The sequence below is a fragment of the Homo sapiens genome, chromosome 3 (genome assembly GCF_000001405.40).
Source record: "Homo sapiens chromosome 3, GRCh38.p14 Primary Assembly".
Classification (NCBI taxonomy): Eukaryota; Metazoa; Chordata; class Mammalia; order Primates; family Hominidae; genus Homo; species Homo sapiens.
Window position 1 is genome coordinate 34,608,299 of NC_000003.12, and position 23,717 is coordinate 34,632,015.

The 23,717-nt window shown below is 34.8% G+C and overlaps 1 annotated feature.

Annotated features, from left to right (window-relative positions):
- Positions 11,800-12,023: a silencer, noted in NCBI's record as "fragment chr3:34661590-34661813 (GRCh37/hg19 assembly coordinates)". NCBI's record gives its function as "represses an EF-1alpha promoter that drives an FKBP-Casp9 reporter gene in an ReSE screen in K562 erythroleukemia cells {active_cell/tissue: K562}" and the evidence as "EXISTENCE:reporter gene assay evidence [ECO:0000049][PMID:32094911]".

A 23,717-nucleotide genomic window follows, 5' to 3' on the forward strand; every position in this document is an offset into this window, starting at 1 on the left:
AATCTGTAGATTGCTTTGGCCAATATGGCCATTATAACAATATTGATTCTTCTAATCCATGAGCGTGGCATGTTTTTCCGTTTGTTTGCATCATCTATGATTTCTTTCAGCAATATTTTATAGTTCTTGTAGATATCGTTTACCTCCTTGGTCAGATGTATTTTTTTGTGGCTATTGTAAATGAGATTATTATTATTTTTTTTTTTTTTTGGCTGGGGGTGGGTGGTAGGAACAGAATCTTGCTCTGTCACCCAGGCTGGAATGCAGTGGTACGATCTCTCAGCTCACTGCAACCTCCACCACTCAGGTTCAAATGATTCACCGGCCTCAGCCTCCTGAATAGCTGGACTACAGGCGCATGCCCATCACGCCCAGCTAATTATTATATTTTTAGTAGAGACAGCTTTTTGCCATGTTGGCAAGGCTGGTCTTGAACTCCTGACCTCAAGTGATCCTCCCACCTTGGCCTCCCAAAGTGCTGGGATTACAGGTGTGAGCCACTGCACCTGGCCGGAGATTGCATTCTTGATTAAGCTTTCAGCTTGAATGTTATTGGTTAATAGAAATACAACTGATTTTTGTACATTGATTGTGTATCCTGAAACTTGACTGAAGTCATTTAGCTGTTCCAGGAGTCTTTTAGCAGAGTCTTTAGGGTTTTCTAGGCGTAGAATCATATCATCAGTGAAGAGAGGTAGTTTGACATCTTATTTTCCAATTTGGATGCTTTTTATTTTTTTCTCCTATGTGATTGTTTTAGCTAGGATTTCCAGTACTGTGTTGAATTGGAGTGATGAGAGTAGTCACCCTTATCTTGTTCAACATCTCTTTAGTCCTGGAGGTGGTCTTGGAGTTGTGGTGTGTATGGCTGTCTTTAATCTGAGTCAGATCTAGTCCCTTTAGGAGGCATCAGACTAACTCAAACTCACCCACAATATGATATACAGAGATCACATGGAACTGTTTAGGCAAAAGGTGAGGGGCAAAAAAAGATAGGAAATGATATACATCTTTGTTCATAAACTAGAGAACAATCAGTGCAACTAGGAGCTATTCTGGAATGTGTCAATTCTGAGAGAACAAGAGCCCAAAATGTTTCTAGAGAAATGCTCTTTATAGGAGAGAAAGATGCATAATCTCTTACTGGTAGAATTATATATGATATTCATTTCACATAAGGCACAGCAATGTAATAATGTCTTAGGTTGTTATTTATTGTGGATCCTTCAAATCTCCACAAATCACTACAGCTCTTTCTAGCTAGACAGATATTCCCTATTGTATCTTTATTGATCACTCTCCTTCCTCTTTCTTTGCTTCAAAAAAAGATGCTTGGTTTTATCCTTTGTATTTTGGTTATTGCATTTTAATCCATTCCTAAAATATTATTTGAGTCCTACAATTCCTACCCCCTGCATTTGTCTAGACTTTCCTGAATGTGTTGTATTGGCAAGTATTCAAAAGCTTTTGTGCTAATTATAGCTTGACAGTTCATTGGAGAACTTAATTAATAAACCATACACGTGTGTAAGAGACATCAATTAGACCAGAATTCATATACCTATTTTTATGCTACCCTTCATACTAGAAAGCAGGTGATAGAAAGCCCAGGGTAAAAATGCATCAAGAAAATATGCTATTTCTGGAAGACAGTAAATGTATGGGGTTGGGAGAAGAAGGCAGAAGTTCAGAGTGACAGGCCAGCAAGCAGGAAATGTGAAGACCTAAACCATTCATTGACCAAGTAAGCAATACCTAAGAATTAAAAACAAATACATTCTGGTCTGATGAGATGGCTCACACCTGTAATCCCAGCACTTTGGGAGGCCGAGGCAGGTGGATCATTTGAGTTCAGGAGTTCGAGACCAGCCTGACCAACATGGTGAAACCCCATCTCTACTAAAAAAATACAAAATTAGCTGGGTGTGGTGGCACACGCCTGTAATCCCAGCTACTTGGGAGGCTGAGGCAGGAGAATTATTTGAACCTGGGAGGCGGAGGTTGCAGTGAGCTGAGATTGCGCCATTGCACTCCAGCCTGAGCAACAAGAACGAAACTCCATCTACAAAAAAATTAAATAAATACATTCTTTTAGATTTTGTTTTTCTAATTGCTAACATGCTATCTAGTCTACTTTTAGCATTCACCCTTCAAAGGCATGAAGATCATGGGCTTTTAGGTATGTTTTTGTGGTTGTCAACTCTTCACAATGATTTTGAAAGAAATATTTTCTTTACACTCCCAAGAAGATTTAGTCTAATCACATCAATTTTTTGAAGATCAATAGATATTGAGGTGAGAGTCCAGAGAAACAAACTATAGAATTATTAATCATATGCTCTCATTACACAAGCACAGAGGTGCTTAATTAAATAATGTTTCTGTGTGGGTGAAGGTGGGTCAGGACCATAGATTTCTTAGACACACTAGCCTTGATAGACTAGTGAGTAAAGAAAGGAGAGCATATATATGGAACAGTATCACACACCTCTGGGACCTTCCTGACTCCTATCCTCTCAAAATCACCTCTGATTTCAACTGTTCTCCAGTGGCTAGTTCCTTGTGGGCTTCATGTACTGCATTTGGATGTTTCACCTTCAGCATATGCCACATGTGTTCCCCTTTATGTCCCAGGTTTCTCTAATATGTTGGACACTGTCAGGAGCTCATTAGTTTAAGTACATGTACATTAGTTTAAGTCTGGAAGTGCAGAGAGTGAATGACCCAGGACAGCCCTCAACAAATGTGTAATGGGATGGGAGCTGATGATTTAAAACTTCTGGTCAGCTCTCTGGTGGAAAATTCTGTGAGGCAAACTATATGTTCCTCAAAGTCTGCAGTAGAGGATCTTGCCCACTACTCTCAGTAAGTGATCAAGAGTGTAACTTTCTACTGAAGCTTTCTTTCTCCCTCAGTCTCTCAGCTCCTTTACTCCTGCATCCAGGAATAAATATCTGCCCACAAATCCTTGTCACTGACTGCTTTTCAGGAGTACCCAAATTAAGATAGTTAGTGTCAGGAGTGACTTTAGAAATCAAATGCTTACAATGAAATTGAGCCCAACTTCCCACAGCAGTGGACTAAGGAACATGACTTATTGTCTTTTCCTCCTTCCTTCATTCTCTCCTGTTCTCACTCCTCCTCCTTGGATCACCTCCTGAGTCAATGTTGGACACGAGTTCTTACTCAGGGTCTGCTATTGGTGGAAACCCAAACTTAGGGACTGAGCAGGAGTAATAAGAGAAATGGAGCTGGTAGTTTCGCATAAGTCAAAGGATAGACAAATTTCAAAAACAGTAATTAGTAACATCAAAAGCTATAGAGAGGTTAAATGAGATGAGAACTAGCCCGGGGGTGGTGGCTCATGCCTGAAATTCCAGAATTTTGGAGCAGAGAGGATTGCTTTAGTGCAGGGGTTTGAGACGAGCTTGGGTAACTTGGTGAAACCCCAGCTCCACAAAAACTACAAAAATTAGCCAGGCATGCTGGCATGCATCTGTAGTCCCAGCTACTGTGGTGGCTGAGGTAGGAGAATCACTTGAGCCTGGGAAGTCAAGGCTGCAGTGAACCATGATTGCACCATTGCACTCCAGCCTGGGTGACAGAGTGAGACCCTGTCTCAAACAAAACAAACAAAGATGAGAATGGAAAAGAATCACATTTAACAATTGGAAGGTTTAAGGCAATCTTGGAATAGAGCTGTCAATGCAATAAAGAAAGTAGATTTTTTTTCTATTGTTGAATTTTTTCAAAGTCTTCATTTCTCTGGTTTTGAGCTACAAACTTTCTCATCTTCCTGAACCTCCAGGCTATAAACTTTAACACTTCCAATCTACCCAAATAAATAATCTATGTTGAAACATACGAGTTAACCCTATCCCTTTTGTCTCCACAAATTTATTTTGCATTTATTTTTTGACAGCCCAAACACCCACTTCCTTTGGAGTTGAGCCAGTCCACTTCTCTCACTTTAGCCTATACTTTCTGCCTCCTTTTTTCACTTACCTGTGACCCTCTAATTGTTTGATTCCTCTGATTTTACATGACTGACAATGACTTGATTCCTTCATAATCAAAATTGGTTTTCTTGCTTTTTTTTGAATATGTAAATCATCCTTTTTTAAAAAAGTCTTACCATTAAGCTTCTCTAAATTCTGGAGTTTGCTATGCATGTTAGAAGAATATTGAAACAAAATACAGGCTGAGTGTGGTGGCTTATGCCTGTAATCCCAGTACTTTGGGAGGCTAAGGCGGACGGATCACTTAAGGTCAGGAGTTCGAGACCAGCCTGGTCAACATGGTAAAACTCTGTCTCTACTAAAAATACAAGAATCAGCCAGGTGTAGTGGCGTGTGCCTGTAATCCCAGCTACTCAGGAGGCTGAGGCAGGAGAATCACTTGAACCCAGGAGGTGGAGGTTATAGTGAGCCGAGATCATGCCACTGCACTCCAGCCTGGGTGACAGAGTGAAACTGTGTCTCAAAAAACAAACAACAACAACAACAACAACAACAACAACAAAAATCCAACAAAATACATTGGTAAAGGTTTTGATTCATTTTTGGCGTCGAGTAATGAGGGTAAGGAAACTTATTATTTATTAGAAGGATCCAGAAATGGCAGACTCAATGAATAAAAATTATTTTGCTGGTGTTAAAATGCATGTTCTTTAGAATTTTATTTTAATCTTTAATTTGAAATAGTCTTTTCCTTCACAATGTCTCAGACATTATTGTCGATGTCTGAATCATCTATAAATTCCCAGCATACACTACATTGTCCTTTCTGAGCACAGTCAATTCCATTGGCAATATGGATAATTATTCTGATTATTGTAGGTGAATCTGTTCAGTAAGCAATTATGCAGCTTTGGAAATTTTCTAGACACTCTGAGAATGTGAAGTGTAAGAAGTTCATGTGGATGTGGTCTCAGAAGTCAAGACAGTGTTTAACCTTGGGGAAATGGATGCTTGTGACTGAAAAGAGGGTTCAAGGGGACTTCTAGTGTCTTGTAAATGTTCTCTTTCTTGATCTGGGTACTGATTACATGGGTATATTCAGTTTGTGAAAGTTCAGTCAGTTTTACACTTATGGTTTACATACATTTATGTATGTATTTTATACTTAAATACAAACTTAAACATTAAAATGATACCATAAATTTATTAGATGTGAACATAGAATTATTTTAAAACTTGACATTGAAGAAGTTCTTAACTATTACTCATAAATCAAAAGTCAATAGAAAAATAACTAACTAACTTGAGTAAAAAAAAGAAAACATACCATACAAGGTCAAAAGTTAAATGCCAAATTAGAAAATATAGTTGCAACTTACATTATGACAAAGGGCTAAATCTTCTAGTATAGAAAGAGTTCCAAGAAATCAGTAAGCAAAAGAACTACCTAATTAAAAATGCATCTAAGAGATTAAGTCTGTTTTCCACTGTTTAAATCTGGGCTATTTCTGGGACTTGCTTTGGTCAATAAGATGTGGTAGATGGGAGGCTGTGCCAGTTCCAACTCTAGGCCAAGAAGACTTGCATGCTTCCTTTTATTTATTTATTTATTTATTTATTTTTGAGATGGAATCTCACTCTGTCACCCAGGCTGGAGTGCATTGGCACTGTCTCAGCTCACTGCAACCTCTGCCTCCTGGGTTCAAGCAATTCTCCTGCCTCAGCCTCCTGAGTAGCTGAGACTACAGGCATGTGCCACCACGCCCAGCTAATTTTTGTGTTTTTAGTAGAGATGGGGTTTCACCATGTTGGCCAGATGGTCTTGATTTCTTGACCTTGTGATCTGCCTGCCTTGGCCTCCCAAAGTGCTGGGATTACAGGTGTGAGCCACTGCGCCTGGCCTAGGACTTGCATGCTTTTGTTCACCTCCTTGGAACTCAGCTGAGCCACCATGCTAATAAGCTCAGGCTAGCCTATAAAAGGATGAAAGACCATATGGACTAGAGATGAACCCTCCCCTACCCAAGCTGAGTCTGGCCTCTGCTCAACCAAGGATGTGACTGCAGACTTACGAATGGGCCCAGATTAGGTGATCTGAGCCAGGCCAAGTTCTGTAGAATTACCCAGTTACTCAACAGATACAAGAGCACTAATAAAATGTTGTATGAAGCCATGCATTTTGGGTGCTCATTATGCAGCAAGATACAACCGATACATGAGACAAGAACTACTTTTATCTATTGACAAGTCTCTACCTTTCTTCCCAAACACCACACACACACACACACACACACACACACACACACAGAGTTGTGTGTGGTGGTGGGGGAGGCAGAAGAATGTTTCTAACTGAGCTGCACTTAGAAACTCTACACTGCAGTTCTCAATCAAATGAATGGCAGTTCCAGCACCTTTATGAACTTGCCAGTAACCATTAGTACAGCTCTAGGAAGCTGAATTTTTTTTTCATATATTTTATGGCTCACATTCTGCCACTGCAGCCATCATTGCCATCAGAATGCCACAGTGCATGGATTCTCACCTTCAGCATACATTTCCCTTCTGAGAAAAAAAAGGAGATTGACTTACACAATGATTCTGTTGATTTGAAGGAGAAAAAGAAGTCTGTAACTGAGACTATGCAGACAGTGCCATCCAGACTCACGTTTGTATTCTCAGCCCTAATTAGCTCTTTTGGAGCAGATTGTTTGCAATGAGCTCCAGAAAATTGAGTATGATTTACTCAAGGCAAACAAGGTTCAGTTGTTAACCTTCCAGTATTTAATGAGGTAATATCTTAAGGATGAACAACAGTTAACAAAGAATCTCATCAATAAGAATCAAGACTGTGCCAGAATTCAATTTTACACCAAAAAACGAGTCTCTGGAGAAAAATAAATTCTATGGCATGAAGTGAGTGCAGGAAGTGCTATAAAAAAGTATCATTCTAACTTGAAGCCGATAATTTAATTTCAGGGTGTCCAATATTGAAAAGCAAATATAAGGAAAACAATATTTTTATTCTGCTGCAGAAGGCAATGAAAAAACGATGAAAAATGTGACAAAAAGCATTTCTGACTTCATAGAGAGCATTATTCTAAAATTGTGAATTTTAAATACTGTATAGTCTTAGCTATGAATTATTTCATTAATAAAACAAGTGATCAGAGTGAGGTGTGGGAGACTACTCAGACATTTTTGCATATGGTGGGAGGATTCCCGTGCTCCGCCCTAGGTGAGAATGAATCTACAGCCATTCCCACAACTCCTTGTACTCTTCCAACTTAGCTTTCCACACTAAATACTCACTCTTTGCTGAGTATGCTTCGTATTGCTGCAGTTTCTTATCCTTTACCATCCTATTCTGTTTACCTGGACTACCTTTCCTGTCTTTCATGGTCTGCCAAGTTTTAGCTAATTTTTAAACTCCTAATCAAATTATCTTTTTACCAAAGAAAAATGAATCTCTTCTTCATATGTGTTTCTCGGATGCATTTTACACGGAGGTTTCTGGAGAGACTCTGAGCCACTAATAGGTAAAAACTGAACTATTATTTCTGTATTTTTAGCTCTGAGATCATAGCTGCTGGACTGAATTAAAAGAATTTGGAGTACTGGCACCTTCCATAAATCTCAGAATGTATTTTACATAGGTGCATAGAGAAAAATTTGCACAAAGAACATGTAGACACTAAGTAAGAATAAAAAGATGCATTTTAATCACACCTCTTAGGACATCCCAGATACAGGATAGAAATTCAATTTCTGATTCTTGCTTAATTTGAAGAATGGGTTAGTGGAGTGATTGCAAAAATGGCTATAATTATTCCTTTCCTATATCAACACCCCCTTTATAATGTGATTTTCTAGCTTCTATCAACAAAAGGTGACATCTATGTCCCTACTCTGTGAACCTGGGATGACCTTGGAACTTGCTTCAACAATGAAATGCGTAAGTCATGCTGTGCGAGTCCCAAGCCTACACTTCAGAAGACCTTGAATTCTTCTGCTTCCTCTCTTAGGAATTTGCCCAGCTATCAGGTGAAACATCTTAAGCTAGCCTACTAGAAGTTGCCAGACCATATAGACTAGAAACAAGCCATCTCAGCTGGGACCATCTGAGTCCAGTCAGCCTAAGCTAACCTAACAGCTATGCAGAGATGCATGCGTGAATGCAGAGAAGACCAGATAAACCATTCAGCTGAGTCCTGCCCAAATTGCTAATCCACTGAGTAGTGAACTAAATGAATGGTTGTTGTTTAAAGTATCTGTGTTTTGACAACCCCATAAAAAGTGGGCAAATGATATGAACAGACACTTCCTTTGAGAAACTTCTCAAAAGAAGACATTTATGTGGCCAACGAACAAATGAAAAAAAGCTAAACATCACTGATCACTAGAGAAATGCAAATCAAAACCACAAGGAGATACCATCTCACACCATCTCATAATGGCAATTGTTAAAAAGTCAAGAAACAATAGAGGCTGGTGAGGCTATGGAGAAATAGGAATGCTTTTATACTGTTGCTGGAAATATAAATTAGAGCAACCAACATGGAAGACAGTGTGGCAATTTCTCAAAGATCTAGAACCCGAAATACCATTTGACCCAGCAATCCCATTACTGAGTATATACCCAAAGGAATATAAATCATTCTACTATAAAGACACATGCACACGTATGTTTATTGCAGCACTATTTACAATAGCAAAGACATGGAACCAACCCAAATGCCCATCAATGATAGTCTGGATAAAGAAAATGTGGTACATATACACCGTGGAATACTATGCCACCATAAAAAAGAATGAGATCATGTCCTTTTCAGGGACATGGATGAAGCTGGAAGCCATCATGCTCAGCAAACTTTTGCCCATTTTTAATAGGGGTGTGTGTGTGTGTGTGTGCACGTGCTATTGAGATATCTGTGCTCCTTTTATAATCAGGATGCTAATTCCTTGTCAGGGGGGTAATTTGCAAATATTTTCTCCCATTCTGTGGGTTGTCTCTTCACTGTTGATTGTTTCCTTTGCTATATGGGAGCTTTTTAGCCTCATATAATCCTATTTTTCTATTTTTTTGCTTTAGTTACCTGTGCTTTGAGATCTTATACAGAAAATCTTTGCCCAGACCAATGGCCTGTAATGTTTCCAAATGTTTTCTTCTAGTAGTTTTATAATTTTAGGTCTTAGATTTAAATGTATAGACCATTTTCATTTGATTTTTTTGTGTGTCTAATAAAAGATTGTGTTTCCGTTTAATTCTCTGCATATAGATATTCAGTTTTCCTAGCACAATTTATTAAAGAAACTGTTTTTCCCCATTTCATCATTGTTCGACAAAGATGAGTTGGCATAAATGTGTGGATTTATATCTGGGTTCTGTATTCTGTTTCATTTGTCTATGTATCTGTTTTTATGACAGTATGATGCTGATTTAGTTACTATAGCTTTGTAATAAATTCTGAAATCAGGTAGTGTGATGCCTCTAGGTTTGTTCTTTTAGCTCAGCATAACTTTGGCTATTCTGGCCATTTCTGAACATAGGGTTATATTAGTCTGTTTTCATGCTGCTGATAAAGACACCTGAAACTGGGAACAAAAAGAGGTTTAAATGTACTTACAGTTCCACATAGCTGAGGAAGCCTCAGAATCAAAATGGGAGGCAAAAGGCACTTCTCACATTGGAAGCAAGAGAAAAATGAGGAAGAAGCAAAGGTGGAAACCCCTGATAAAACCATCAGCTCTCATGAAACTTATTCATTATCATGAGAATAGCATAGGAAAGACCAGCCCACATGATTCAATTACATTCTCCTGGGTCCCTCCCACAAGATGTGGGAATTCTGCGAGATACGATTCAAATTGAGATTTGTGTGGGAACACAGCCAAACTATATCAAGGGTGTTAAAGTCCCCTATCATTATTATATTGCAGCCTATCTCTCCTTTTAAATTTATTAATGCATGCTTTATATACTTAGGAGCTCATATGTTGGGTGCATAGATACTTATAATTGTTATATTCTCTTACTGAACTGACCCTTTTATCATTATATAGTGACCTTCTTTGTCTGTTTTTATAGACTTTTATTTGTAATCATCATTTTATCTAAGTATAGCTACTCCTGCTCTTTAGTGGTTTCCAGTTGCCTTGAATACATTTTTTTTGCACCCCTTCATTTTCACTTTATGTGTACCTTTATTGGTGAAGTAGATTTTGTGTAGGTAGCGTATAGTTGGGTTTTCTTTCCTTATTCATTCAGCTTCTCTATAGCTTTTTATTGGAGAATTTAGTCCATTAACATTCAGTGTTATTATTAAGAATTACTACTGTCATTTCTGGATTGTTTTCTGGTTGTTTTGTAACTTCTCTCTTCCTTTCTTTTTTCTTCCTGTCTTTTGTGATTAGTGGTTTTCTCTGGTAGCATGTTTTAATTCATTGCTATTTATTTTTTGTGAGTATATTATAGGTTTTGCATTGTGGTTACCATGTGACTTATAAAAAACATAAACATAACAAGTTGTCTTAAAGAGATGAGTACTTATCTTAGATCACACAGAAAATAATAGAAATAAAAAAGAAAAATATTCTACCCTTTAACATCGTACCCCCACATTTTGACTCTTAGTTGTTTCAACTTATTTTTTATTATGTATCTCTTAATAGGTTTCTATAACTATAGCAAAATGATATATTTGCATTTTGGGCTTCATAGTGGAATTATAAGTGGATTACACACTACAATTCAAATATCAGAGTATTTTAGTTTGTCCGTATGTTTAATTTTACCAGTGGGTTTTATACCTTCAATTTTTTAAAGTTCATTTATTTTTTTCTTTAAGATCGAAGAATTTCCTTTAGCATTTAGCACTTCCTGTAAGACAAATCTGGTGATGGTGAATACCCTCAGTTTTATTTGTTTGGGAAAGACTTTATATCACTTTAATATTAGCAGGATAAGCGTGCTGGATACAGTATTCTTGAATGGCAATTCTTTTCTTTCAGCACTTCGAAAATGTCAAGAATATCATTCTGCTCCCTCTTGGCCTATATGCTTTTTGTTGAAAATTCTGTTGCCAGATGAATTGGAGCTCCTTTATATGTTATTTGCTTCTTTTCTCTTGTTGCTTTTAGTATCTTCTGTTTGTTGTTGACTTTTAAGAATTTGATTAATTTAGGCTTGGGGCGGTCTCATTTGGGTCTAATCTGTTGGTATTCTCTGCCCTTCCTGTACCTGGATATTTAAATCTTTATTGAATTTTGAGAAGTGTACTCTTATTATTTATTTGAATAAGCTTTCCACTTTGTGCTCTTGCTCAACTCCTTTTTGAACACCACTAATTCTTATATTTGGTATTTTGATCTAATTTTCTGTATCTTGTAGGTGATCTTTGTTGCTTTTCAATTTTTCTTTTTCTCCTCTCACTGTATTTTTAAATGGGCTGTCTTCAAGATCACTGATTCTTTCCTCTGCTTGATCCACTTTGCTGTTGAGATCCTTTAATGAATTTTTCAGTCTAGCAAATGTATTTTCTAAGTTCCAAAATTTCTGTTTGCCTTCTTAAAATACTTCAATCTCTTTGTTAAATTTCTGTGATTAATTTCAGAATTATTTTTCTGTGTTATCTTGGAGATCACTGTTTTCTTAAAACTGCAGTTTTGAATTCTTGGTCAGAGAGCCCACATATCACGGTCTCTTTAGGGTCAGTCACTGATTCTTTGCTTTGTTAATTGGGGAGATTATGATTCCCTGTTTGCTGTTGTTTCTTGTGGACATATATCTATGTCTTTGCATTGAAGGATTAATTATTTATTCCAGTCTTCTGTCTGGCTGATTTTGTTTTTTATTAAATATGTTTGCTTAGATGTTGTTTGCCACTAGATCATTGCCTCCTTTTTGGCTCTAGGTGGCATCTTAAGCCCAGGTTCACTTCAGCTCTAGTAAAGGATAGGAGCACTGGCCTTCCTCATTGCGGAAGCTCAGGAAGGGGATACCCAGCAATGTGGGAAAACTGGAAAGGGGCTTGTGTCCAGAGGACTTATGGAATAAATCTACAGCGTGGTGATGCTGAACAGCCACTCTGACTGGGCATGTCCTTTGACTGAGTTATAGAGCAGAAGTTCTAGGACTGGGGATGGTAGTCCCATCTTCTCTTTTTGTCTTCCCTGTCCTCAGTGATGCTTAAGGGACTCATGATGCTTCCTGTGGATTAAGGCATGAGCAGATTTCCTGCCAGCAAACTCAAGATGGTGGTACAACACCGTCTTGAGGTGGCCGTCCACCTCAATACGTTTTGTCCTTTTTAAAAATTGTGAGTTGGACGAAAATTTTCCTGGTGCTTGGTGCTTGGCAGAATAGGGGGAGGGACATCACAGATATGCAGGTTACATTCTTTTACTGTCTACCTGGAGTTTTCTCACTTCTCCGTGGCCCTGGGAAGTGTCTCATCTTCATATTTGAATTGTCTAATATTGCTAGTGATGATTTTGGTGCTGTATGTTAGTTTTTGGTTTTCTGTGGTGGGTAGTGAAACCAACTTGCTTCTATTTTGCCATTATGGAACCAGAAGCCAGTCTTTTCACTTTCTTGAAAATGTCCTTTTATGAAAAAAAGTTAGTAACTTTGATGCAGCCTTCAATTTATCTATATTTTGTTTTGATGCTTGAGCTTTTGGTGTCATATTTTAAGAATCTTAAACTAATATAAGATTATGATGATTTAACCCTATGTTTTCTTTTAAGGGCTTACAGTTTTAACACTTAAATTTAGGTTGTTGAATCATTTTGAGTTAATTGTTATATATGGTGTGAGATAGAAATTCAACTTTATTCTTTAACTCTGCTGTCCCAGCACAATTTGTGGAAGAGATTCTCCTTTTACCATTGAACGGTCTTGGCACTCTTGCTGAAAATCAATTGGCTATAGATGTATGAGTCTATTTATGGACTCTTGATTTTTTTTCCTTTGGCCTGTATATCTCTCCTTATGCCACTAAAACACTGATTTGATTGCTAGAGCTTTGCAGTAATTTGAAATTGGGGAGTATGAATCTTCCAACTTTGTTCTTTTTTAAAAGACTGTTTTGGTTATTCAGGTCTCCTTGCAATTTCAAATAAATTTGAGGACTTCATCAACTCTGTAGATCATTTTGTGCAGTATTGGCATATTAGCAGTATTAGATTGTTGAATTTGTGAATACAAAATGTCTCTTCATTTGCTCAGATCTTTAATTTCTTTCAGCAATGTTTTGCAGTTTTTAGTGTACAGATCTTTCACGTCCTTGGTTACATTTATTCCTAGGAATTTTATTCTTTTGGATGCTATTGTAAATGGAAATGTCCTTTCATATGTTAAGGCTAACCCCTTATATTCTTAATTTTCTGAAAGTTTTGATCATGAAAGCGTGTTGAATTTTGCCGAATGCCTTTTTCTGCATCGATTGAAGTGATTATGATTTTTCTTCTGCTTTGTTCTATTTTTGTGGTGCGTTGGATTGATTGATTGTCTCATGTTGAACAAACTTTTCATTCCTGGGGAAAATTCTACTTGTTCATATTCTTTCAATATGCAGTTTAATTTTTTTTTCTGGTATGTTATTGAGAATTTTTGCATATATATTCATAAAGAATGTTTATCTGTAATTTTCCTTTTTTGTGATGTCTTTATCTGGCTTTGATATTCTGGTAATGCTGACCTCATACAATGAGTTAAGCATTTTCTCTTTTTTCATTTTTTTAAATAGTTTGAAAAGAATTGGTCTTAATGCTTTTTAAAATGTTTGCTAGAATTTACTAGTGAAGACTTTGGGTCCTTGACTGTTTTTGTTCAGAGGGTTATTTTATTATTATTGATTAAATCTACTTATTTGTTACAGGTCTGCCGATATTTTCAATTTCTTTTTTAGTCATTTAAATTAATTTGTACATTTCTAGGACCATTCTCATTTCATCTAGTTTATCTAATTTGTTGGTATATAATTGTTCATCTTTTTTCCTCATGATTTTTAAAAATTTCTGTAAAGTCAGTAAAATGTCCCCACTTACATTCTTATTTTATTTGTTTGCATAAACTACCTCTCTTTTTATTTTCAATCCAGCTAGGGGTTTGTCAAATTGTTGATTTTTTTTTCAAAGAACCAGAGTTTGCTATTATTGATTTTCTCTATTGTTTTTCTATTACCTATTTCATTTATTTCCACTGTTACCTTATTATTATTTTTTTCCTTGCTAGCTTTGGCTTACAGGAAAATTTTTTCAAAATTGTTAAGTTGTAAAGTCAAACTATTGAGATGATTTTTAATGTGAGCACTTATAGCTATACATTTTTCTTTAAGCATTGCTTTCTATACATGTTACAAGTTTTGTTCTGTTGTGCTTCATTTTTATTTACCTCAATTTTTTCCTAATTTCTCTTGAATTTCTTTAACTCATTGGGTATTTAAGGCTATGTTATCTAATTTCCAGATATTTGTGGATTTTCCAGTTTTCCTTCTGTTAATAATTTTAACTTTAGTTCATTGTATTTGTAAAAGATGATCTGTATAATTTCAACGTTTTAAAATTTATTGAGACTTGTGGATTAACATACAGACTATCCTGGAGAATGTTCCATATGCACTTATGTGTATTCTTCTACTGGTGAGAAGAATGTTTTATATATGTCTTTTAGGTCTGGTGATATATATTAATAGTATAGTATAGTGTAGTATTTTTGATCTATATTGACCCATCTAGATCTTCTGTCTATTTTTTAAAGTGGGTATATAAAGTCTCTAAATATTATTTTAGAAAAGCCTATCTCTTCCTCTGGTTTTGTCAACATTTGCTTCATGTGTTTTGGGGCTTTGTTATTTGATGCATATATATTTACAATTGTTATATCTTCTTGAAAAATTGACCCTTTTACCAACATGTAGTGTAGTTCTTTCTTGTAGAAGTTTTGCTTATGTCTATTTTTCTGAATTTAGTATAGCTACTCTAGCTCTCTTTTGATTATAATTTGCATAAACATATTTTCAATCCTTTCACTTCCAACCTATTTGCGTCTTTGGATCTAAAGTGAATGTCTTATAGATCTCATATAGTTGGATCCTTTTTAAAATTCCACTCTACAAATCTTTGCCTTTTGATTAGAGTGCTTAATCCACTTACATTTAAATTAATTACTGGTAAGGAAAAACTGCCATTATGCCATTTATTTTCTCTATGGTTTTTACCTTTGTTGTCCTTCATATCCTCTATTGTCATTTTCTTTGTGTTTAGTTGATTGTAGTAAAGTATTTTGAATCATTCTCTGTTCTTTTTGTGTCTATTTTAAAATACACATTTACTTTTGTAGTAACCATGGGGGCTGTCTTTAATATCCTATGTTTATAGGATATAGTTTGAATTAATACCAACATAACTTCAATAGCAGACAAAAACTCTGCTCCTATACATATTTGTTCTCCCCCTTGTTGTGTTGTAGTTGTCAAAAATTACATCTTATAGATTGTATACCTAATAATATATATTTATTATTATTATACATTTGACTTTTAAATTATTTAGAAAATAATAAATTTGAATTGCAAACCAAAAATATAAGAATACTAGTTTTTATATTTGCCCATTTAGTTGCTTTTATTGAAATTCTTTATTTATTCATAAAGAATCAAATTACATTCTTAGAGTTACTCATTTGCCATTTCTTCCTCAGCTCTTGTTATTCTGGGAATGTCTTCATTTCTCTCCATATGAAGCACAGTTTTGTTAGATATAAAATTATTGGTTGACAGGTTTTTTCTTTCTTTTAGCACCTTAAATATGCCATCCCACTGTCTCTCCTGCCATGGTTTCTGTTGAGAAATTGGCTTTTAATTTTATGAAGTCTGTCATATGTGATCATGTTACTGCTCTGTTGCTGCTTTCAAGAATTTCTTGTAGTTTTTGTTTTTGATTAGAGTACATCTCAGGATGGATCCTTTTAGGTTTATCAGAGTGGAGGGACTAAGTTTCTTGAATTTATAGATTTAAACCTTTCATCAGGTTTGGGAAGTTTGTAGCCATTCCTTCAAATATTGTTTATGCACATTTCTCTCTCTTTGTTTCTGGGTTTCCCATTATGCACATGTTAGTGTACTTGATAGTGTTCTATAGGTTCCATAGGCTTTTTACTTTATTTATTCTTTTTGCTCTTCAGATTGGATGATGTCAACTTTGCTGTCTTCAAATTCATGATTCTTTCTTTTGACTCTTCAAATCTACCTGCTTAACCTCTCTTATTTTAGTTATGGTACTCTTGGAACTCTTCAGTTCCAGCATATCTATATCTATATCAGTACATATAGATACAGATATAGATATAGCAGTATATCTATATATACTATATCTATATCATATATATCATATATATATCATATATATCTATATCAGTAGATATAGATATATCAGTAGATATATATATATAGAGAGAGATATTCAATCTTCTTTTTAGCATTCTAATTTTGTTCACATATCTTTTTTTCTTATTTCCTTTGGCTTTTGTCCATCTCTATCTCCAATTTAGTTCTTTGAATATATTGATATTTGACAAAATCTTCGTGTACTAATTCCAATGTCTAGGTTTCCTCAAGGGCAGTCTCTGTCAATTTATTTTGTTCCCTTGAATGGGTCATGCTTCCTGTTTCTTTGTATACTTTGTGTTTTTTTTTGTTTGTTTACAATTGGGCATTTGAGTATCATATTGTGGTAATATTGTATTGTAAATATCATATTGTGTAAATCAGCTCCCTCTCCTCTAGAGTTTGCTTTTTTTGGATTGTTGATAGTTGTGGTCATCCATTTGTTGATTGGCTTTCCCAAACCGCAGCATTTGTGCAAAGTCTGTTTTTTTTTTTTTTGTCGTTTGGGGGTCCCTTATGCCTCTTTTATTTTAGCTTGTGTTTAGAAAGTGCTTTGACAGATATATATATATATATATATATATTTAACATGATGAGCCATACGAGCAAAAACATCTCTCCCAGTCTTTGCATATCGGCTTTGTATTGGAACACTCCTTCAACACTCAGCTGGTACTGCACTGAGCCTAAATATATGATAGATATGAAAGCTTAGCCTCTTTTCAGTACTTTTTTTTAATTATGAGGTCTTGCCCTGGACATGTTCGTGGCTTTCTAAATTCTCTAGTGTACCTGGGTGCTTTTGAATGCCCTAACTTTCCAAATAAACTCTCCCTAGCTTTTCTTCCCATGCTTTTGATAGTTTATTGAATGTCTCAATTGTATCTTTTGTCACAGGCCACTGTTGGTTTTTCATTAGCCTTACAATGTTTTCAAATATTGTTCACCAACTTTCCTTCCTGAATAAGTTCCCATGTTAGGCAAAACAGAGATGACACCTTTGGTCAATCCTTCAGGTATCCCCCAGGCAAGTTAGGACAGACATATTGAATAATCTGTGAATAAGGTATTTTCTGCTTTCCCTGGAAACACAGACTAGGTTCCACACTAGGAATTTGGCCTGCAATCTTCAAGACTGCTGCTGAGCTTGGGAGAGAATGAAGTAAGTTAAATGCCACAAAGCTTTTCTACCATTTAATAGTTGCCTTTACTTGATTTAGTACTTACTGAGTTGCTACAAATCTTTAACTGTTTTCTGTAGTTCTAGCAAAGTTAGTTCTGACAGTTTCTGCTTGGTTCTCAATGTTTCTGTGGAAAGGAAGAAGCTTAAAGTTGCTTACTCTGATATTTTGCTCATATACCATGGGAGCAGTAGAGTTTTCCCGTGTATTTTTGTAATTACTTCTCATCTACAGAGGCAAAAAATAGTATCTCATTGTTTCTATTGTTATTTCTCTGATAATTTGTTAGGTTGTATCCCTCTTCATAAGTTTCTTAGGCACTTTGCTGAGAATTTAGGTTTTTTGTTTCTTACTGGTTTGCAGAATTTCTTTAGATAGTCTTCATATGAATTCTTTGTTATATATGTTGTAATTATTTTCTTCTCCCTTCCATTTTATTTTAATACTGTTTATGATGCCCACACTAAAAAATTTTTATAATTTTTATATAGTTAAGCTCAATAATATTTTCCTTTATGGCTTTTGAGTTGTATGCCTTGCTTAACAAGGTCTTTCCTAAAAATATTTTCTAGAGCAAATCTAATTTTTATGTATTATCTTTTTAAATATTATTTAAACAATAAAATATTTATTAAAATACTTGAATAAATAAAAATTTATTTACATTTTTGATTCCATTACGTTGTACTCTAAATTTTTGCAAATGTCTTTTTATTTTGATTTTTTTTCAACTGCTTTTGACTTTGTTTCAACATTCTTTCTGAGATTTCACTTTTCTTGCATGCTGTAGCCTGCTTCCACTAATTAGAGAATGGCATGGAACAAGCTTATCTGGGTCATTCACCAGTGGCTTGTGTTTGGAGGGAGCATGATCTTGTTCCTTCTGGGTGTCACCACTCACCTTGACACTTCTTGTCCTCTTTCATACAAGTATCCACATCTCTGCCCTAAAGTTTGTGTCACCAAAGTATGAAAGAAAAACTGGTGTAAACTTAGTTCCACCAAAATTCATCATGATAATTCTCAATATATATTCATTTAAATTAATTACATTTAAATTAATTAATTTACATTAAATCAATATATATTTATTGAGAATTATGATGAATTTTGGTGGAAGTAAATTTATATATTATATGCATATATATTTGAAATAGATATATATTTATATACATATATTTCTCTCTATATATGCTTATTGCATCCTTTACCTTTGATTTGGAGAATTTCTAATAGTGTTTCTGCCCTTGGAAGCTGTCTCTTTCTCTTTATGTCCTTTAATCTGTGGTCTTCCTTGTCAAGCTGATTGTTTCTGCATTTTACTCTCATAGATTCTTTAACCAATTTGATTCACTGAAGATAATCTTTTTTGTTTGTTGCTAGTATTATAATTTTGTTTGGTCTATTACATTTTTTATGTCTTCTCTAGGGAAGCAAAAGATCTAAGCATTTGTTCTCAGACTAATATCTTGATCTAATTTTCTATGTATCTTTTTGTTCTTATCACACATTTTTATAATAGGATTTGAGGCTCTTTGAAAGAACACATTTGGTAAAATATAATAAAATACTTGAGGGAATGAGAAGATATGAATAAGTAAAAATGGAAAGAAAACAGCAAGAAATTAGTCTGGTACTTGTAGGAATTTAGACCTTTGGCAGGCTTGGAGCTTAGTCCTGATGAGAGATGGTAAAGCTAAGTGTATACTGGGAAACTCACCTTTGACTTGCCCAGAAATAAATTTCCTAGGATTGGTTTTGCACAGTCTCTAGAACCTAGTGGATAGAAAGGTGTTTAGCCAGAGTTTCCAAATTGTAAATCTTCCACTAGAATGGAAAAGTGGTAGTTCTGATTATGTTCAGGATTTTATTCCACCAAGACAGAATCATTGGCAGCCGGGCATCTCAGAGAGAACTGATTATACATTAGCTTACACATTCTGTGAGAGAAGGTCGTATGCCAGACTTTTCTTCAAGTATTCTGAACCACAATATAATAATGCCAGTACTAAGGAAGTGATAAAGAAACAACCACTGAATTTTCTTGACAGAAATGAAGAGTTGATTATGTAATCTTTTGTGAGCATTATGGTAAGGTTCTCCAGCTGCCTATCTTTGCCCTAGGGCTTTTTGACTTGGCCTTTTTGTGAAAGCAACAGAACTTAGTTGGACAGAAGCTCCAGAGGGCTGGATGATATAGAGAGAATAAAAAAAGATAATCTATGATGAACCTCTGATTCACAGCATCCTTTTATTAATAGTAAGGCATAATAAAATGCAAGCATCACCCAAGGAATTAAAGGATTTTTTGATCAGGAATTATAGATTCTAATTATAGATCTTTAGTTATTTCCTGAGTAACCCCTGGAAATTCAATTATTCTTTTATTTATTCTTCTATGAAAGGGAGTGAAAGGAAATTCTAATATTTTTTAATAGTGTTAAAAAGAGTTAAGAGAAAAATTGGAGGCAAATGAAACTTTTGAAATGGGAAGTAATTCAGATATCATTCTTGACATATTCATGTTCATTTAACAGTAACTCACCCTGTTCAAGTCTTAGACTACTTTCAAGTATGGCTCAGTGTTTTCAGGACTCAGTAGCTTTATGATTTATTATTTTTTCCAGGTCTAATCCACATCATATCCCAGAGTTACTTCTGAGCAAATGTCTTTTCTGTTCTGTGCTTCAATAAATCCCACCACATAATTGAGTTTACAGTAGAAACTGCTTGAAAGAAGAAATGAGTTTAAAACTTGAATTAAGTTTCCTCAGATAAGAACAAATTTTTTTCCTCCCTGAAGAACCTTATGAGCATGTGCTCACTCTTAAGGAAAGTAGCCTGGACTTGGTAATAATTGACCAAGCTGTAACTTGAGGAACTGTCTAACCCCCAGAGGAAAATCAATCGAGGACTATTGTAAGGTTGTGATGTGCTTATTTCTCTTGTGGGGTGTGGAGGGTACTTCCTGAATCATAGTGGGAGATCAATTTTTTGTTCATTCTTTTCAGTGCAGATCCTTAAGAGTATAATCAACACTTTTTGATCCTCCCTGAGCCAAATTGATTGCTCCTTCTTCTACATCCAACCAAAATTTTGTATACTTCTTATTTTAGCCTTCCTGAGATTTAGAAATACAGCAGACTGTGGGCTTTAGAGACAGAGAGATGAGGTTTCAAGTACTGTCTCTGCCACTAATTAACCATGTAACTTAAAACAAGTTGTTCATCAGTAGAGTAGGGATAATAACAACTATTTCTTTGGCTTGGTGTGAGAGTTAAATATGCTACTGAATGTAAATTCCACAGAGAAATGTCTGGCACCTTATAGACACACAGTCAATTGCAGGATGGCCCATGTGTGGTAAGATAAGAGAGAGAGAAGTTAGATCACAACCTCCATCTATATACCATAGTATGAACAAAAATAGATGTCCTATTGCTGCACTGGCCACCATCAAACACATAGAATGGTACTGTTTTACACAGCAGTCTTTAAAATGTGTAAGCCAGAGAAAGAGGAGTACAATAATATCCAAGACTTTGCATGGTTTGTCAATGCTCCTAATAATATTTCCACCCCATAAAGAATGCAAAAAGAAAAGTAGATGGGTGGACAAATTCTGATAAATCTTGTCTATATACTAAAGTAAAAAGTAGGTTCGGTCCAGAGGATGTCAAAGAGGTTGATTATCATCAGTATTATTGTTTTGAATGTCTTAGCTAGTATAGTTATATGAGAAAAAAAGAACTATGAAAGTGAGAATGAAACACATAAAATTATTTTTATTTGCAGACGATATGATTGTGTACTATTAAAATTCAGGAGAATTGTCTGAAAACTATTAGAAATAAAAAACAGAGTTCAGAAAATTCCCTGTTTGCAAAATTTATATTAAAATCATTGGTTTTTCTATATGTCAACTATAAACAGAAAATTTAATAAAGAAAATATCCCATTTATAATACCAGGAAAGAAAAGACTTAAAAAGCTCGTAAGAAGAAATATTCAGGGTTTATGTGAAGGAAACTTTAAAACTCTTTTGAGAGATATAAAAGAAGACTTGGAAAATAGACATAACTTATTCTTAGAAAGCCTCAATATCATAAAGATGTTATCTTGCAAAATTAATTTATGAAGCCTATGCCATCTAAAATAGAATACCAATGAGATGTTTTAGGGAAAACTTTACAAAATATTTTCTGAGAAATATATTTATATAATTGCTACAATTCTGAAAAAAAGAAAAAATAGGGTCAGTGGAATAAAGTTTAGATTCTAGAAAATATTCATCCAGAAATATATGGAAGTGTTATCTATAATAAATATGGAATTGCATCAGTAGGAAAGACGGGTTAAATGAAAAATAGTGTTGTGAAAGTTGAATTGACATTTGTGGAAAAAAATAAACTTGGATGGCTATGATTACTTCAGTTTCAAAATGAATTCGAGATCTGCTAATCATGTAAATACAAAAAATAAAACCTTAGCAATATTACAACAAAGCAATGACAAATGAGTCATTTAATTTATATGAAATATTAATGAAGTAGTTAATTAAAAATGAAAAACTAGAGGATGGCCACAGCATGGTAGTATGAAAAATAAAAATAAAACTTCACAAAATTCTTGCAATATATACACTGGTTTTGAAAAATTATTAATAAATAAATATTGCACCCATAAAATGGGCAATTATTTTACAGAAAATGAGACAAAATATAAATAAACATAAAAATTCTAGTTTTCACTTATATTTAAGTGAATAGAAATAAAATGAGATAGTATTTATGTCTATTTAATTGGCAAAAGTGAATACCATAAATAATACCAATTTTAAGAAGGTCTTGGAATATGGACATTCTCCTTTGATTGAAGTCCAAACTGATTCCACTTTGGAAGTAATTTATCAATATCCAACACAATTTTAAATGTGCACACCATTTCACCCAACAATTTCATTACCAGGGGTTGACCTAGGGACACTTTTTTAAAACTACACAATAATATGGAAGATAGCTTTCTAACAGTTAAAAAAAACTATATAAGTTATGATGCATTAAATAAAATATAACACTGTATAGTCAAGCAACAAAATTCTACACAGTTTAAAAAGTGTGCTACATTGGTATTTACTGTTATCAGTAGATCTTCAAAATATATTATAAAACTGTAAAAGCAAGGTATAGTTACACTGGGTGATCTGGTGATCTTTTTTGCATAGGTAAACTGTGTGTGTGTGTTTGCACATGTGTGCATATTATATTACTTGCATATTTTAACTAAGAGTTAAGAATATTTTGGTACTTTTTTGTTATGTTTCTAATGTTATTGGGGATTGGATAATGAGAAACTATTTTTTAAATACAAACTTTATTTTTTAGAGCAATTTTGGGTTAATGGTGAAATTAAGTGGGTAGAACAGAAATGTTCCACATACCCACTGCCCCAAAACATGACGAGCCTTCTCACCATCATCCTCCTGTACCAGAACGTTACATTTGTCACAATCAATAAACCTACATTGAAACATCATTATCACTCAAAGTTCATAGTTTACACTAGGATGTACTCTTGGTGTGTATGTTCTGTGGGTTTGAACAAAGTATAATGACATGTGTCCACCATTGTGATATCATACAGAGTAGTTTCACTACTCTGAAAAATCCTCTGTGCTCTGGCTGTTCATCTCTGCCTTCCCCTTATTCCCTGGCAATCATTGATTTTTTTTTTTCATTGTTTTGCATTTTCCAGAATGTCATATAGTTGGAATAATAATATATAAAGCTTTGAAGACTGCCTTCTTTCACTTAGCAATATGCATTTAAGATTCCTTCATGTCTTTTGTTGTCAACATCTCTTTTCTTTTTGCACTGAATAATATTTCATTGTATGGAATTCCCATAGTTTATGTATATATCCATCTATTAAAGAACAACTTGGTTGCTTCCAAATTTTGGCAATTATGAGTAAATTTGCTATAAATACCTGTGTGCAGGTTTTTGTCTGAACATAAATTTCTAAATTGTTTGGGTAAATACTAAGACGTGCAAATTGCTCAACCATATAGTAAGTATATTTTTAGTTGTATAAGAAATTGCCAAACTGTATCCAATGTTGGCTGTACCATTTTGTATTCTTACCAGGATTGAAGAACAGTTTTTGTTGCTCTATCTCCTTGCTAGCATTTG